At 39.8% G+C, this 19,226-nt stretch overlaps 1 protein-coding gene across 12 annotated transcripts in view, besides 1 other annotated feature; it reads right to left on the bottom strand.

The window, feature by feature from the left end:
* The window catches only part of NCK2 (NCK adaptor protein 2), a 149,820-nt gene that overhangs the window by 48,016 nt on the left and 82,578 nt on the right, over nt 1-19,226 (bottom strand). The gene's annotated exons all lie outside the window — the stretch shown is intronic.
* Nucleotides 11,040-11,089: an enhancer, noted in NCBI's record as "active region_16333". NCBI's record gives its function as "activates an Ori minimal core promoter by ATAC-STARR-seq in GM12878 lymphoblastoid cells {active_cell/tissue: GM12878}" and the evidence as "EXISTENCE:reporter gene assay evidence [ECO:0000049][PMID:35858748]".

Here is a 19,226-nt window from a genome sequence, read left to right as displayed (position 1 = left end):
AAAAGAAGTGGTGGCACTGTCGCTTCAACTAGAATCTGGGAAATGCTATTTTACACATAATTTACCACTCCAGCTACAAAAGTACACAATTTTGTAACCTTCCTTGGCTTTCTCGTTGGTGTCTTAGACACTAATCACACTGGGAGGAAGGCTGTGACTGTCAAGTGATTCCCTGGTGCCAGCATTTTGGAAAATCAACATAAATTTAATAAGCCAATTTTCTTACATGATGTTAACTGTAAACAAATGAAATTCCATATAACTGCACTGGAATCAACACTGCCTTCTGCCAAGCCAGAAGACAGCATGGTGAAGGGGTGAAGAGGAAATACCAACAATGGGAAAATACCCACGTATGAAAATGGACATAGATGTCTTTGGTGGAACTTGGCTTCTTAGGAAACACAAGTGAGGTCTTTTCAGGTAGTGCATACTCCCTGCTCCCAAAGTAGACGGATAACAGTCACCATTTTTAGCGGTTTATCAGGCCTTCCTATTTTTTTTTCACAGCTGTAAGGTACTTGTAAATTTTGTAACTTAAACATCTACTTCAAAAAAACCTCGGCTGGGCGTGGTGGCTCACATCTGTAATCCTGGCACTTTGGGAGGCTGAGGTGGGTGGATCATCTGAGGTCAGGAGTTCGAGACCAGCCTGGCCAACATTTGAAACCTCACCTCTACTAAAAATACAAAAAATTAGCCGGGCATGCTGGTACATGCCTGTAATTTCAGCTACTCAGGAGGCTGAGGCAGGAGAATCACTTGAGCTCAAGAGGCGGAGGATGCAGTGAGTAAAGATCAGTCACTGCACTCCAACCTGGGTGACAGAGTAAGATTCATCTCAAAAAAAAAAAAAAAATTCAAAATATAAATGTCATGAGTTTCCTCAGTTCTTACAAATGAATTCAGCTACATTAATCAATATCTGACCTTTTTCCTTGCCACCTTGTTACTCACGATTCCCTGCCTGATTTTGAAACATGCAAGGTTGAAACAAGAAGCACAGTGATTTTTAAAAACAGATTCCACACTACCCAGGTCTCATAATGTTAAAATATTATTAGGCTACTAAAATCATTTTAGTTCTGCAGATTTATATGGTTTATGCCCACATTCCTAAGCATGGTATCTATGCTTTAGATTTTCCTATTGAAGTGGGAGAGTGGATTATAGAAAGCCCCTCTGCACCCCGCTCTAGGGACAAGAACCTGTACCTACCTGCCAGCAGGGACCCTGTGTAGGAGAGGGGACATGGGTTACTTTGGGTTTAATTACTATAGACACCTCTATAAATGAGTTTGGAACAATAAATGCTAATATTTATTCCAAATGTAGAATTCTGTTAAAGAAACCATCCCTATCATTTAAGAAAACAGAATGAGGAAATAAAGGTTTCTAGCATCTGTGCTTGATATTTCAAAATATATATATCTATTTTTATGTATATATATTTATATATTCTTTTATATACATATATACATACATACATATATATATATATATATATATCCCCCCCCGCCCCAAGACAGAGTCTTACTCTGTTGCTCAGGCTGGAGTGCAGTGGCGCGATCTCAGCTCACTGCAACCTCCTCCTCCTGGGTTCGAGCAATTCTGCCTCACCCTCCCGAGTAGCTGCAATTACAGGTAAGAGCCTCCATGCCCAGCTGTTTTTTTTTTTTTTTGTTTTTTTCTACTTTTAGTAGAGATGGGGGTTTCATCATGTTGGCCAGGCTGGTCTCCAACTCGACTTCATAATCCGCCCGCCTCAGCCTCCCAAAGTGCTGAGATTACAGGCGTGAGCCACCATGCCTGGCCCAAAAATATTTTTTAGACTAAAATAGGTTCCTTTATTATTAACATATTACATTAGTATGATAAGCATGTTACAATTAATGAACCACTACCCATACATTAACTAAAGTTCATGGTTTATTCAGATGTCCTTAGCTTTCCCTTAATGTCCTTTTCTTGTCCCAAGATCCCACCCAGGATCCCACACTACATTTAGTTGTCACGTCTGCTTAGGCGCCTCTTGACTGTGGCAGTTCTCAGACTTCCCTTTTTTTTGAAGAGCATTGGTCAGGTATTTAAAGAATGTCCCCCCACCCGTTAGGATTTGTCTGATGTCATGAGAAAAACATCAGACAAATCCTAAGTGGGGGACCTTCTGCAAAATACCTGATCAGTGCTCCAGTATTAGCTTTTGGGAGGAAGACCACAGAGGCAACATGCTATTCTCATCTTACCATATCAAAGGTCAACATGGCTTAGGACTGCAGACTGCTGATGTTGACCTTGATCACCTGGCTGAGGCGGTGTTTGTCAGGATTCTCCACTGAAGTTACACTTGCCCCCTTCCATGCTATGCTCTTTGGAAGGAAGTCTCCAGGAACAGCCCACGCTTAAGGGTGGGGAGTTAACTCTTCCATCTCCTTGAGGGCAAAGCATCTACATGAATTATCTGGAAACCTTTTGCACAGGAGATTTCTCTTCCCCTACTAATTAACGTATTCCATCATTTATATCACTGTGATCTTACGGCTATTTTATACTCTGGGCTACCATCCAATATTGCTTTTTCTTGAATTGTTCCAGCTTTGTGTATGGGAGCGTTTTCAGCTGGCTACTGTGTCCCTGTGACGTATCACCATCACTGCGAGTGTTCGTTCGTTTGTTTCTTTGAGCACATCCTTACTTTCTGGCACCACAAGATGCTCTGGGCTTTTCTTGCATATTTTCTACCCCAGTCCCAGAATCAGTATATCTGCCTTGATTGTAACCAGCAGTACCTGTAGTCCACTTTTTACACATGAATCCTTTACAAAATAAAGAGGGGAGGGCTAGGTTTTTTTTTTTTTTTTCTTATGGGACCACAGTACAGAAATACAGGCTAAGAATCCCTAATTCAAAACTCCAAAATCCAAAATGCTCCGAATCCAAAACTTGAGCACTACAAGTGAAAAATTCCACATCCAACCTCATGTGATGGGTCACACATATTATTAAAAATATTATATGAAATTACCTTCGGGCTATATATATATGAAACATAAATAAGGTATATATGAAACATAAATTTAGCATTTAGACTTGAGTCCCATTCCCAAGATATCTCATTTATGTATATGTAGATATTCCAAAACCTCAAAAAATTCTGAATGCCCTAACACTCTGATCCCAAGCACTTAGGATAAGGTATACTTAACTAGAACTTAAGATTTCTCCTATGCAGACTCTAGCCCACTCCTGGGCCACATGCTGTTGAAGAAAATAATAAAACTGTGCTGTGAAGCCTGATGGTATTTTATCTCCACTAGACTGTCCCTCCTGCTAAGCAATGGCAAGCAGTAAGAACCCCCCCACCCCACCACCCACTGGTTGCCTATCATATTTCTCACAGCGTCCACCCCCCTGAAAACTCATTCCTCCAAAACCACAGCCGCCCTCTCCTGCCACGGGCTGGGTCCCGTCCCCACCTCTGCATTCACTGTCCCCAACCCAGTCAGGCCTCCCAGAGCCCACCTGCAGTCTTTGCTGTGAGTACTTCACACCAATTCCATGTATAATTACTTGTACCCTTGACTTAGGGGCAACAAAACATAATGACACAAGTCAAGAGTCAAGAGCACTTAGAGAGATCTCAGTGGCTATAACTCAAGAGTCAGATGTCACTGCCAAAAGGACCAAGGGGAAATTTAAACAACTCTGATAGCAGGGCAGACAACACAGTCATAAAGCATATGTATAATATGATTCAGATTTTTATTTTTTTAATGTATATATTTTCATTAAGTATTGGTGTATATAGGAAAAAATGTTACAAACTTTCCTCAGTGTTTAGGATTTCTACACTTTTTATGAGAAAAAAACAAGCTGGGTGCAGTGGCTCACGCCTGTAATCCCAACACTTTGAGAGGCTGAGGCAGGTAGATCACCTGAGGTCAGGAGTTCAAGACTAGCCTGACCAACATGGCGAAACCCTGTCTCTACTAAAAATACAAAAAAGTTAGCTGGCATGGTGGTGCATCCTTTAATCCTAGCTACTTGGGAGGCTGAGGCAGGAGAATCACTTGAAACCGGGAGGCAGAGGTTGCAGTGAGCCGAGGTCGCGCCATTGCACTCCAGCCTGGGAAACGAGAGAAACTCCGGCTCAAAAAAAAAAAGAAAAAAACCCCCACAAATACTATTACTACTTTCCCTTCACCACATCTCAGGTCTGCTTAAATCTAACTCTCACCTACTTCACACCTGCCCCAGGGCAGCTAGTGCCATTTTACATTTCTGATCTCTGGCCTCAAGTGGACTCTTGGTGCCTCCTGGCAACTTAACTCCATTTTCTAAGCGAGCTCCCTTCCCCTCTCTGAAGGGTCTATTAATATCTTTCTTTTCCATCCTCTAATATCTCCTCCCCTTTCTGTAGCCTCAGTTGATGAATGACCTTCTATGATACCGTATAAAACACATTTGGTCATCTTCCCATTTCCTGGCTTAGCCTCAAATGTAAGTGTCTTTTTGTATGCAAATGAGGTGACTGGTGGCTGGCAGCCCCTAGGCAGCTTCAGGATGGGGTTGGTCACCAGAAAGACCAAGGCAGGATTAGAGGGTTGGGACTTTCAACCCCACCCTCCACCCTCCAAGAAGGGGAGAGGGGCTGAGGTCAAGTTGATTATCCATGGCCAAGGGTTTAACCAGTCATGCCTATGCAATGAAGCTTCCATAAAAACCCAAAAAGACAGGGTTCAGATGGGCTTCCAGATATCTGAACACGGGGAGGTTCCTGGAGAAGGCATGGAAGCTCCGTGCCCCTTCCCCTGTACCTCACCCTACCTACACCTCTACATCTGTATCCTTAAAAATATCCTTTATAGTGACACCCAAAATGAGTGACTGAGGTAGACATTCAATCACAGAAGTTTATTAAGCCAACTTTAGGGCTTTTCGAGGGAAAAAACATAAGCCACAGAGCCATCTGTTTTTCCAAAGAGGTTTTCAAGTTTAGTATTTAGACATTTCCTTAAAGTAGGGGAAGGTAGGTTGGCGGTTAAGGCGAAAAGGTTACATGCCTGTGAGACTTTGGTTAGTGCCCAGTAAATCTACATTTTACATCAGATAAAGTGAATGTCGGAAGAGACAATTATGCAGTCATCTCTGGGTAGGTGGAAGAAATGAGTCTGGACTTGTTCTGCACCTGGGAAGATAAGCTTGTAATCCACACTATCAGTGTGGAGAATTAGAAGGTAGACCTCAATTACTGACCTAAAGTTACAACTGGTCTGTCCTTGTTTCTGGGAAGCCAGGAAAGGATTTACTTAAGAATGATCTGTGGGGGCAGCCTTTCAGATGCCCACGGCCTTTTACCTTTCCGTGGGGACCTGGCTGATGCATAATGGTGGTAACAGCTGTTCATTAGGAAAAGGGGGATGCAAGATTCAGCCTCTGGGCCTAAGCCACCCTTTTGCATAAGCAGTTTAGCAGGAGGTCCTGAGATTTTTTATTTTCCCTTACAAAACACAGTAAATGTGTTTCCCTGAGTTCTGTGTGCTGCTCTAGCAAATTAATTGAACCTGAGGAAGGCAACATGGGAACCCCAGTTTATAGCCAGAATTACTGGTTAAAACAACCTGGGACGTGCAACTGGCATCTGAAGTGGGGGTGGAGGGGCAGTCTTGAGGACTGAGTCCCCAAACTATGGGACTGATGCTGTCTCCAGGTCAACAGTGTCAGAGCTGAATTAAATTAGCAGACCTTCAGTGGCATCTGCTGCAGAAGCAACTGCTTACTTGCTGTTGGGGAGAGATACCCAGACATTTGCTGACAGAAGTGTGTTGTGAGAGTAGAGTAGAGTAGGAGAAACTGCATATTTTTTCACTTGCCCTCCTTATTTCATTAACAGAAATTCAGGCAATCGGAAGAAAACATCTCCATGTGTCCCACGTGTTACAGGGGTGAGCTGTCTGGGTGCCTCTCTGAGGCCTGTCCTCCTCCGTGGACTGAATCCCACCTCTGGAAGGAACCTGCTCCTATAATTATTCCCTGGAGCTACTGTGTCTTTCTGGATCATCTCATTTAGCATAAGACATGCTAAATTCTCCTCCATATTGTGATTACATTCCCTTGCCCCTAACCCCACCAACTCTCCTTTATAGAGGGGATACTCTACCAGAAGCTGTCTCCTCTTGCCATCTCCACTTCCTCCCCAACCTGATCTTTGAGCCTCCACTAATTGGCTTTTGTCCCTACCATACTGCCAGATCCAAAGGTCCTCTTGTTACCTGCATGTCCACTACAGCAGACACTGCTGACCAGCCTTTCTGGGAAACACACCGTCCACCAGCTGCGCGGAGATCACACAGCCCTGCTGCCTGTCCCTTGCTGACCCTTCCTTCTTAGTTTTCTGGCTCACTCTACTTGTGCTTCTGAACTAAAGATGGAGGGGTAGCCAGGCCGTCTAGGAGCCTCCCCTCCATCCGCCCTCTTGGCTTTGAGTGTCATCCATCTGTTGCTGCCAAATGTTGGTCTCCACCCTGCTCTATCCCCAAATGCCAGACTCCTGCACCCAGCTACCTGGTGAACATCTGCATCTGGATGTCTAACATGCACTTCAAATCTCACGTCTAAAACTAAGCTCTTCATTCTCCCCATGAAAAACAAAAGGAAACCAATCAAATAAACAAACTACCTCCTGTGCCTCCCGCAGTCTGCCCTTCTGAGTAAGTGGGTATTAGACAACCATTAAGTGGGCTGACCCAGCCCCCAATCTGAGACTCATCCCTCAAGCTCTTGTCTCTCACTCCCCATTCTTTCCAGCAGCAAACCCCACAGACTTGCCTTCAAAATATGCCTCAGATCCACCCCTTCTCTCCCATGCACTTCACTCCAGACCAACAGCACCTCTCCAGTCTACCAGTCTCTCTGTTCTACCCTCCTGGCACTCGCTTTGGGGAACTTTAAAAACTAAAGGTATTTGTGTCAGTCCTCTCTGCAAACCCCAGTGCAGCTTCCCACCCAAACAGAACCAAATCCAAAGCTGCACCAAAGCCTAAAAGACCTTGACCCTGGGCAGTTTTTCCAAACTCTGATTCTCACCTTGGGGTCTTCGCATTGGAATGCTCTTCCCCAGCTCTCTGCAGGACTCTTTGTTCTGTTACTTTGTTCAAGCCGCCATTCAAATGTCCCCTCCCTTGCTCTCCCTGCCTCTCTCATATTCCTTCTCTGATTCCATCCAATTCTCTGCCAAGCCAAACCTGCCCCACCTCATATAAAATAGCTGCCGCACCACTCTCCATTCCTTTCTTCTGTTTTCTCTTTTTCCATGGCCCTTACCATTACTTCACACACATTTTAATTTATTTATCGTTTATTTTCTCTGACTGCACTTAACTCCTTGAAGACAAGGACTTTGTCCCTTTGTAAGCCAAGACTTAGATGGGTGCCTAGCATGCATATATATACTCAGCAAACATGTGAAAGAGAGAGTGGATGAAAGGCCTACGGTCGGCCTCCATCAGTAGGTGTTGATGGTCTCCATCACCACAGTAGACACACAGATACAAGATGCCTACAAACTATTCCATCCTACACTGAGGCCCTACCTTGCATGTGGATTCAAATTTAAGGTGCTTCATTTAAAACAATCCCACTTCTTGATATATTCATTGTTATTCTACATAATAAGGGGTCTTTTATTCATATGGGAGCCATAAAATAATTCCATTAAAAAATTTAAATTTTATATTATTCAGCTACTTTGGTAAAAGGGTGAAAGTACAGGGAGTATACATAAATATTCATGAAATACAGATCAGTAATAAAGAGTGAATCTTCCAATTCTTTTTAGCAAATGATTAGTGCAGCCACAGATAATGAAAGATAAAGTTTAGGAAAGCTCATTAAATGACTGAGAAGGCAATTGTCTAAGACTAGTTACCTGGCCAAAAAAAAAAAAACATTTTAATAAAATTCCAGCATTTAAAAATTTGCATTTATCTTTATCAACTCCAAAATTTAATTTTAAAATATGCTGCTGAACATTGAAACAAAACAAAATGCATATAGCCCTTTCGGCACAGCTGTGAGAACACAAGATTTTCTTGTGACTTGAAAATGCTAAGGTTTATAAATAGTGGTTATCTATTGCTGGTACAAAAAAAAAAAGGACTGTTCTAGTTAAACAGAAAGTCTGGCTTAACAGTGAATTCTCATGTAGGAATTATTGATTTTCATAGATCAAAATAGGATTAAATATACTTGTAAAGAAACTGTTGGAAACAGCACATATAATCGTACAGGACTGGTGTTGAATATATAAGAACTCCTACAATTCAACAACAAAAAGACCAATAACTCAATTAGGCAGCAGGCAAAATACACAGTCATTGCAAGGACAGGTAGCACAAATGGTGAATAAACATAAAAATAACTCAAGTTCATTCATAATCTGAGACCACAATACGATCCCATTTTATAGTAGATGGGTAAAAATGAAAAAGGTTGATAATGTGTTAGGAAGGTTGAAAATCAATGGGAATACACATCATGTGCTGGACAAAGTAAAACAGAATCACTACTTTGGAACCAATGTGGGCTTATCTTGTAATGCAGAATACTGACATACGTACAAGGCAGCAGCTCCACTTCTACTTATATGCAGTACAGAAACTCTTGCACTGTGCCTCAGGGACATGCACAGTGCTCAGGGCAGTACTGCTTATGACAGTTAAAGAAGAGAAAATAACCCTGATGGAGGGAAGATACATAGGTGGTATAGTCACATGATTCACTATCATACCAAGAAAGTGAAAACCAAGAAATCACCACTCCCCACACAATCACACAGATGACTTGGAGAAACAATATGCAATTGGGGAGGCGTTGGGGAAGTCAAAGGACTGCATACTACATAGATCCATTTTCATAAAGCCCTAAAACAAGCAAAATTAAACAATGTAGTTTAGACTTACATATGTGGTAAAACTAACGTTAAAAATCAAGGAGCTTGACGTCATTAAGATGGCCTACTAGAGACACACCCAGCAATCACCTCATCCACAAAGAACTAAAACAATAGATAACCACACAGCAAGTAAAATGTCCAAGGGAGAACACTGGAATTCAGCAAAGAAGCAACAAGACCCTCCGAGGGACAGAAGCTCAGGATGGCAGCACAGAGGAAAGAAAAGCAGCCAGCCAGGACTGACTCAGAGCCAAGGGGGACTCCCTGTTATAGGAAAAAGTAAGCTAAAGGTCCACAGCAGACCACATTCACACCACAGATGCCTACAATCTTAGCCAGAGCCATCATAGGCCTTGAGCCCCATAAAGGGAGGTACCTGGCATCCATGCAGTTGTTTTACTCTAGAAAGACCATTCATGCTGGGTAGCCCCTACTCCCTGAGTCCCAGGCTGCTGCAGCAAGGCACCATTTGGAGACTGGATTCACACTAGAGTGCATCCTCCTAGGGGCCCCAGCATCTCCACATCCCTGGGGTCCTGTCAACATCTCACCGTATCCACCCAAAGAGCTGCAGTGTTTTGATACCAGCTGGACCCAGCAGTGCAGCTCTAATCCCAACACCTGAACCCAAGCAGCATCCTACACCCTGTAGAACAGGTGGTCCAGCACAGAAGGAAGGCTTCCCCTAGAACAAAGGGAGCCAATGCACAGTCTCCCCAGAGCCTGAAAGCTGACTGCATGGGGCCTGCTACTACCTCCACCAACAACTTTGCTCCCTCCAGCAGTAAGCTGCCACATACGCAGCCTGGAGGCCTGAAAACCAGCCCACCCACTGTCCTTGTTTTCAGTAAAGCCACACCACGCCTCCAAAACCAACTTCAGCTTAAGCCACTGAGGCACTTGCAGACACCACTGACAGTGATTACAGTCCAAGAAATCATACGAAGACTACACTTTTACGCTCACCCAGAATCAAACCCAAAGCATCCTACCCAAATGATACTATAGCATACATCTACAAAAAACTCTGTTCCCTATGAAAGATACTCCATGAAACTGAAAAAAAGAAACTATTTCGCTAACAGTGCAGATATCAACGTACAGATACAAGAAACACGAAAAAGCAAGGAAACAATAAAACCTCCAAAGAAACACAGTAATTCTCTAATAACAGAACAAAGAAAAGGAAATCCATAAAATGCCTAAAAAAGAATCTAAAATAATGATCTTAAGGAAACTCAGTGAGATACATGGGAACATGGAAAATTCAACGAAATCAGAAAAACAATTCATGAGAATTCATGGAGAAATTCAACAGAGATATTTATCACAAAAAGTCTTGGAACTGAATAATTAAATGAATTAAATAAAAAAATTGAGAGCCTCAAAAAGAGACTAGATCAAGCAGAAGAAAGAATTTCTGAACATAGAGACAGGTCTTTTGAAATATCCTAGTCAAACCAGAATTCAGAAAAAAAGAATAAAAAAGAATGAAGAAAGCCTACCTGACATGTGGGATCCTATTAAGCAAACATATATTCATATTTTGGGATTTCTAAATGGAGGAGAGATGGAGAAAAGCATAGAAACCCTCTTTAATAAAGTAATAGCAGGAAACTTCCCTTTGTGGGAGAAAGAATCCAGATCCAGGAAACTCTAAGATCCTTAAATATATTCAACCTAAGAAAGTCCTCTCCAAGGCACATTGCAGTTCAACTGTCAAAAGTAAGACAAAGTGAGAAGTCTGAAAACAGCAGGAGAAAAACATCAAGTAAAATAAAACAGAATCCTCATCAAAATAACAGCAGATTTCTCAGCAGAAACCTTACAGGCCAGGAGAGTTCACTATGATATATTCAAAATGCTGACCAAAAAAAAAATATATATATATATACACGTATATATATATATATATGTGTATATATATGTATATATATATAAAACCAGCCAAGAATACTATACCCAGCAAAGCTATCCTTCAAAAAGGAAGAAGAAATAAAAGTCTTTCCCAGACAAGCAAAAATTGGAGGAATTCATCACCAGTAGACTGGCCCTATGAGGAATGCTTAAGGAAACCCTACATTTGGAAGCAAAAGAATGATATCTGCCATCATGGAAACACACAAAAGTATAAAACTCACTGGTAGTGCGAAAACATAAATGAGGAAGTGAAAGGAATCAAATATTACCACTGAAGAAAACCAGCAAACCACAAAGAAAAACAATGAGAGGAAGAAAGAAACAAAGGATATACAAAGCAACCAGAAAATACTTAACATAGTTACAAGAGTTTGCCTTCATCTCTCAATAACAACCTTGAATGTAGGGCTAGGCATAGTGGATCATGCTTGTAATCCCAGTACTTTTGGAGGCTGGGATGGGAGGATTGCTTGAGCCCAGGAGTTCAAGACCAGCCTGGGCAATACAATGAGACCCCATCTCTACAAAAATAAAAATAAAATTTAGCCAGACATGGTAGCACACATCTACCTGTAGGCCCAGCTACCCGGGAGGCTGAAGCAGGGGGGCAGTCACTTAAACCCAACAGTTCAAGGCTACAGGGAGCTATGATCATGCCACTGCACTCTAGCTTCAGTAAGAGAACGAGACCTTGTCTCTAAAAAAATAAAAAAATTAAAATTGAAAAAAAAACCCTTTAATGTAAATGAATTAAATTTCCCAATTAAAAGATATAGACTGGACAGATGGATTAAAAAACACCACCTAACTATATGCTGCTTACAAAAAACATTACCTATAAAGACACACAGAGACTGGAAGGGAAAGGATGAAAAAAAAATCTTCCACAGAAATGAAAACCAAAAGTAAGCAAGAGTAGCTATACTTATACCAGACAAAATATAATTTAGATAAAATAGACTTTAAGTCAAAAAACATAAAGTGGCAAAGAAAGTCATTACGTAATGATAAAGGAGTGAATTCAAAAAGACATAACAATTGTAAATATATATGTACCCAAGAACAGGGCACCCACATATATAAGCAAATATTATTAGAGCTAAAGAGAGAGATAGACCCCAATAGAACAACAGTTGGGGGCTTCAACACCCCACTACAAACACTGGACAGATCATCCAGGCAGAAAATCAACAAAGAAGCATCAGACTTAAACTGCACTATGTATCAAACTCACCTAACAGACATTTACAGAAAATTTCATCTAACAGCTACAGAATATACACCCTTTCATCAGCACATGGGACATTCTCTAGGATTTACAGTATGTTTGGTCATAAACGAAGTCATAAGAAATTTTTATAAATCAAAGTCAGGTATTATCTCAGAACACAATAGAATAAAACTAAAAATCAATAACAACTTTGGAAATTGTATAAATATATGCAAATTAAACAAGTTGCTCTTGAATGAACAATGAGTCAATGAAGAAATTAAGAAGGAAATAAAAAATCTGAAACAACATAAAAATGGAAACACAGTATACCAAAAACTGTGGGATACATCAAAAGCAGTGCTAAGAGGGATGTTTATAGCAATAAATGCCCACATCAAAAAAGTAGAAAGATCAAGATGCTAGAAAAGTGAGAACAAACCAAACCCAAAATTAGTAGAAAGAAATAATAAAGACCAGAGAACTGAACAAAAGAGGCCAAAAAAATGCAAAAAATCAATTAAATAAAAAGTTGTTTATTTAAAAATATGAAAATTGCCAATTATCTAGACTATGAAAAACAGAAAAGCCAAATAAATAATATCAGAATATCAAATAAATAATATCAGAAGACATTTTACAAGTTACCACAGAAATATAAAAGATCATTAGAGACTAATATGAACAATGATACACCAATAACTTAGAAAACCCAAGGAAAACAAGTAAATTCTTAGACACACATAACTTGCTGACAATGAAGCAGAAAGAAATAGAAAACCTGGCTGGGTGCAGTGGCTCACACCTGTAATCCCAGCACTTTGGGAAGTGGGTGGATCACCTGAGGCCCGGAGTTCGAGATCAGCCTGGCCAACAAGGTGAAAGCTCATCTCTAGTAAAAGTACAAAAGAATTAGCCAGGCATGGTGCTGCATGCCTGGAATCCCAGCTACTCGGGAGATTGAGGCAGGAAAATCGTTTGAATCCGGGAGATGGAAGTTGCAGTGAGCAGAGATCACGCCACTACACTCCAGCCTGGGCAACAACAGTGAGACTTTGTCTCAAAAAAAAGAAAAGAAGAAAAAGAAAAGAAAAAAGAGGGGAGGGGAGGGGAGACCTGAACAAACTAATAATGAGCAACAAGACTGAATCCATTTAAAAAAAAAAAAAAAAAGTCTCCCAACAAAGAAAAGACCAGGACTGGATGGCCTTAGTGCTGAATTTTTCCAAACTTATAAAGACAAACTAACACCAATTCTTTTCAAACTATTCCAAAAAACAAAACAAAACGAAACAAAAACGAAACGAAACAAAATAAAAAAAAAAAAGAGAAGAGAATTCTTCCTAACTCACTCTAAGAGGCCAGTATTATCCTGACACCTGAAACAGACAAGGACACAACAACAACAAAAACTACAGGCCAATGTGCCTGATGAACATAGATGCAAAAATCCTCAAAAAAAAAAAAAATACTGGCAAAGTAAATCCAACAGCATATCAAAAAGACAATACACCATGATCAAGTGGGACACATTCCAGAAATGCAAGGATGTGGTCAACAAATGCAAATCAATAAATGTGATACATCACATCAACAAAATGAAGAACAAAAACCATATGATCATCTCGATAAATGTAGAAAACCATTTTGATAAAATTCAGTATTCCTTCATAACAACTCTGAACAAATTAGGTAATACGAGCCTTAACGACAGATGCACAGCTAACATCATACTGAATAGGCAAAAGCTGAAAACTTTTCCTCTAACAACTGGAAAAATATAAGAATGCCTATTCCTTCACGACTCTTATTCAATGTATTGTTTATAATCCTAGCCAAAGCAATTATGCAAGAAAAAGAAAAAGCAGTCATACTGGAAAAGAAAACGGAAAATTCCAGCAAAATACTGTAGAATTGGTAAACAGATCCGGTGAAATTGCAGGATACTAAAATCAACATACAAAAATCAGTAGTGTTTCTTCTATATACCAATAACAAACTAGCTGAAAATGAAATAAAGAAACCAATCTCGTTTATAATAGCTAAAAATAAAAGAAAAAAAGCCAAATACCTAAGAACAAATTTAACCAAGAAAGTGAAAGATGTCTACATTAAAAACTACAAAATACCGATAAAAGAAATTGAAGAGGACATAAACAAATGAAAAGATATCCCATGTTAATGACCATTACATCCAAAGCAATCTACATTTTCAATGTGATCCCTATCAATATATCAGTGACTTTTTCACAGAAATAGAAAAAGAAATCCTAAAATTTGTATGCAACCACAAAAGACCTCAAATAGCCAAAGAAATACTGAGCAAAAAGAACAAAGTTTGAGGCATCACACCACATGACTTCAAAATATACTACAAGCTATAGTAATCAAAACAGCATCGTATTGGCATAAAAACAGACACATCGACAAAGGGAACAGAATAGAGAACCCAGAAATAAATCCATGTATTCACAGCCAAATAATTTTCAACAAAGGTGTCAAGAACATAGATTAGGGAAAAGGAGAGCCTCTTCAATAAATGGTGGTAGGAAAACCGGATATCCATATGCAGAAGAATAAAACTAGGTCCCTATCTTTCACTACATACAAAAATTTACTCAAAATTGATTAAAGACTTAAATGTAAGCCCCCAAACTATAAACCTACTAGAAGAAAATATAGGGGAAATACATTAGGACATTGGTCTGGGCAAAGATTTTACAGCATAGAATGATATTATCAAAAAGACAAAAAAAAAAAAAAGATATCATGCTTATTTGGTAGCTTTGTAGCGTATTTTCCAGTCAAGCACCATGTGCCTCCAGCTTTGTTCTTTTTGCTCAATATTGCTTTGGCTATTCAGGGTTCTTTTGCGGTTTCCTACAAATCTTAGGACTGTCTTTTCCATTTCTGTGAAAAATATCATTGTATTTTGATAGGGATTGCACTGAATGTATAGATCACTTTAGGTACTATAGTCATTTTAACAATATTATAATTCTTCTAATCCATGAATATGAGATATCTTTTCATTTTATAGTTAAGACTTCAACAGCAGAGGCAACAAAAGCAAACATAGACAAATGGGACTATATCAAACTAAAAAGCTTTTGCACAGCAAAGGAAATAATCAAATGAAGAGACACTCTGGAATAGGGGAAAGTATTTGCAAACTATTCATCCAATAAGGGACTATTTATTATCCAAAATATTCAAGGAATTCAAAAACTCAACAGCAAAACAAAAAGAAAAACCCAAATAATCTGGTTTTAAAAATGACCAAATAATCTGGTTTTAAAAATGATCAAAGGATCTGAATAAACATTTCTCAAAAGAAGATATACAAATGGCCAATAAGTATAGCAAAAAAAATGCTCAATATCACTAATCATCAGAGAAATGCAAATCAAAGCCACAATAAGGTATCATCTCAATGAGAATGGTATTATCAGACCAAACACACACACACACACACACACACACACACACACACACACACACACCAAATTCCTGGCAAGGATGCAAACAAAGAGGAACACTAATTTACCATTGGTGCAAATGATCTAGCAATCCCACTGCTGGGCATTTACCCACAGAAAAGGAAATGAGTATATTGATGTGACAGCTGCACTCCCATGTTAACTGCAGCACTATTCACAATAGCCAAGATATGTAATCAACCTAAGTGTCCATTAACAGATTAATGGATAAAGAAAATGTGGTACATATACACAGTGGAATACTATTCAGCCAGAAAAAAAATAAAATTCTGTCACTTGTCACTCATGGCAACATGGATAAGCCTGGATAATGTTATTATATTACATGAAATAAGTCAGGCAAAGAAAGATAAATACCAGAGTTCTCACTCACGTGGGAGCTACAAAAGCTGATGCATAAAAGTAGAGAATAGAATAGAGGTTACTAGAGGTGGGGAAGGGTGGGGAGAGGGAGGAATAGGAAAAGGTTGGTTAACTGGATTCAAAATTACAGCTAGATAGGAGGAATAAGTTCTAGTGTTTGATAGCACTGTAGGGTGACTTTAAAATAACTAGAAGAGAGGATTTTGAATGTTCCCAACACAGAAAATAAATGTTTGAGGGAATGAATATGCTAATTACCCTGATTTGATCATTACACACTATATACAGGTATCAAAATACCACTCTTTACCTATTAATAGGAACAATTAGAATGAATAAGTAAACAGATCCAGTGAAGAAAACAAAATGTATCAACTCAAAAAAACAAAAAGAGAATGAATGACTAGTAAATAAGTGAAAGAGACAAATCTTGTTGGAAGAATAACTCTAAATAACTTACGTAGACACTCCATCTTCAAGGAGATGAAGCAGTGAACTCCCCTCCCTTAACTATGGGGTGCACCCAGAGACTTCCTTCCAAAGAGTACATAGGGAAAGGGGGAGAGGGAGTCAGTATGGAGTGAAGAATTCTGACAGAATGGACTCTTGATGTGATGAGATGAGTAGGATATGTTGCCTCTGTGGTCTTCCTCCCAAAACCCTCACGAGAAAATCATCAGACAACTCTCAATTGGGGGACTTTGTAAAAAATACCCGACTCCTCAAAACTGTCAAGGTCAACAAAACAAGGAAAGTCTGAGAAACTGTCACAGCCAAGAAGAGCTCAAAGAGACATGACAACTAACTAGTGTGGCATCTTGGATGGAATCCTGGGACAGAAAATGAACATTAGGTTAAAAAAGTTTTAAATCCAAATAAAGTACAGACCTTACTTAATAATGGACCAATTTTAGTTCATCATAAGGGTAACTAGATGCTAAATATATGAGAACTTTTTAGGCTATCTTCATAAGCCTTCTGTAAATCTAAAAGTGTTCTAAAATAACTTCTGGGGGAAAAGGCAATGGCAAAAGAGGAGGTAGAGAACAGTATTGAGAATATTCTAGTTTTTAAGTTGGGAGGTAGGTTCACAGGCATTTGTCTTATTATTATGCCCCAAAAGTACATAAATGACACCTACGTATTTTGTACCTATCAAATATCACAAATGGAAATTTTAAAAAGAAAGCATACAGGCCAAGCAGAAAGGGACAGTAAGAGTACTTCACTAGCTAGCACTTGCTGAACCTCCCCAAAATGCCAGTCAGCATGGCTATGCCCCTAGGCCTGGCACTCTACTCCATCCAACTATATCACTCAGAGCTGGGGGTCTGAAATAAAGAATCAGCTCATTTGGGCTCTAATAAAAATAATGCCTATTTTGGGAAAGGTGGAAGCCTCAGAGAGATGGAGTGTGTGAGCTCATACTAAGAGCTATGGTTTCTATTAAAAGAAGACATTTCAGACAGTGGCCACTGGGTACAGTTGAAAAGATGAGTGAGTGATGGTCCTTCCCTGTAGAGAGCATGCCTAATTTACTAAGAGGTCAACACAGCAGCATCCTATTTCACTCCTACAGCAGCCCCAAGGGGGAAGTGGTGACCTGCTCAAGATGTCATAGGTGATCAAAGACAAGCTGAGACCTCTTCCTGGGTCTCTTGACCCCAGGGTTAGTGCTTGTGTGTCTAGATTCATGAAAATAGGTATTTCATTTGCAGTAGCTGCCATGATTTGCAGAGCCTTCTACTGTTTTCAGCCTTGTTTCTTAGACTTCAGAGTCGAGACAAAGTCATTACCTATCACATGCTTAAATTCTGCACTCCACACTGATCTGCGGTGGGTGAGTGTGCTGTCATGGGGCTTTAATTGTAGTATTCTTGTGGTCAGTGCCATTTTTTAAATTTGACCAACATTAATTACAGGCAAATTATTGTGAATTATAATTGTATATCAAAACAACAACAACAAAAATATGGTTAGGCCATATTGTTCCAAAGCAGGGAACAGGGAAATTCGTTGATAGCAAAAACATTTTCAGCAATCTTGAACGGTGCCCAATTCTCCCTGGCCCCTCTCCTATTTCCATCTTCCTTTTATGACTTATTCATCTACTGCTATGTAAGCTTGCACACTTCTTAGATCCCAAACTACAAACTACTATAAAAAGAGGAAATGAGTTGATCTTTCAACATTTTTTTCTTTTTAAAAAAGTTTAAACTTTTAATTTTGAGATAAGTATAGGTTCACAGGAAATTCCAAAGGGTGTGCAGAGTGGTCCCTTGTGCTCTTCACCTTGTTCCTCCTAATGGCTACATTCTACATAACTGCAGTAAAATATCGAAACCAGGAAACTGACATTAGTATAATGAGTATATATGGTTCTGTCATTTCATCATGTGTGTAAACTCCTATAACCACCATGCCAATCAAGACTATTTCATCATCACAGAAATCTCTCTGACATTATCCCTTGTACAGTCACACCCACCTCCCTTTCTGACAACCATCACCAACCCCTTGTAAACACTAACCTGCTCTCTATCTCTGTAATTTTGTCATTTTGAGAATGTTATATAAATGGAATCATACAATATGTGTGACCATTTGAGACTCATTTTAAAGCAAAAAGAAGAAATTCTATTAAAAGATAGAAGACACTCTGTATGATTTCAATGCTTTGAAATTTGTTACTGTTTGTTTTTTGGCCCAGGACATGCCCTAACATGGCAAATGCTCTGTGGGTGCCTAAAAAGAATGTGTATCCTGCTACTTTTGGGTGGAGTGTTATAAATGTCAATTAGATAATATTAATTGATGGTGGTGAGTGTTCCTATAGCCCTGCTGACTTTCTGTGTACTTTCTGTGTGGTTGTTCTATCAACTGTTGAGAAGAGTATGGAGATCTTCAAGTATAATCATGGGTATGTCTGTTTCTCCTTGTAGTTCTAGCAGTTTTTACTTCTTATTTCACAGCTCTGTTGTTTGGTGCATGCATACTTAAGAATGCTATGTCAGCCAGGCGCGGTGGCTCACGCCTGTAAACCCAGCACTTTGGGAGGCCAAGGCGGGTAGATCACGAGGTCAGGAGATCGAGACCATCCTGGCTAACATGGTGAAACCCCGTCTCTACTAAAAATACCAAAAATTAGCCGGGCGTGGTGGTAGGCACCTGTAGTCCCAGCTACTCAGGAGGCTGAGGCAGGAGAATGGTGTGAACGTGGGAGGCAGAGCTTGCAGTGAGCCGAGATCGTGCCACTGCACTCCAGCCTGGGCAACAGAGC

Source organism: Homo sapiens, chromosome 2 (assembly GCF_000001405.40).
Source record: "Homo sapiens chromosome 2, GRCh38.p14 Primary Assembly".
NCBI lineage: Eukaryota > Metazoa > Chordata > Mammalia > Primates > Hominidae > Homo > Homo sapiens.
Note: the sequence above shows the minus strand (reverse complement) of the source record. Positions and strands in the feature narration are given on the sequence as shown.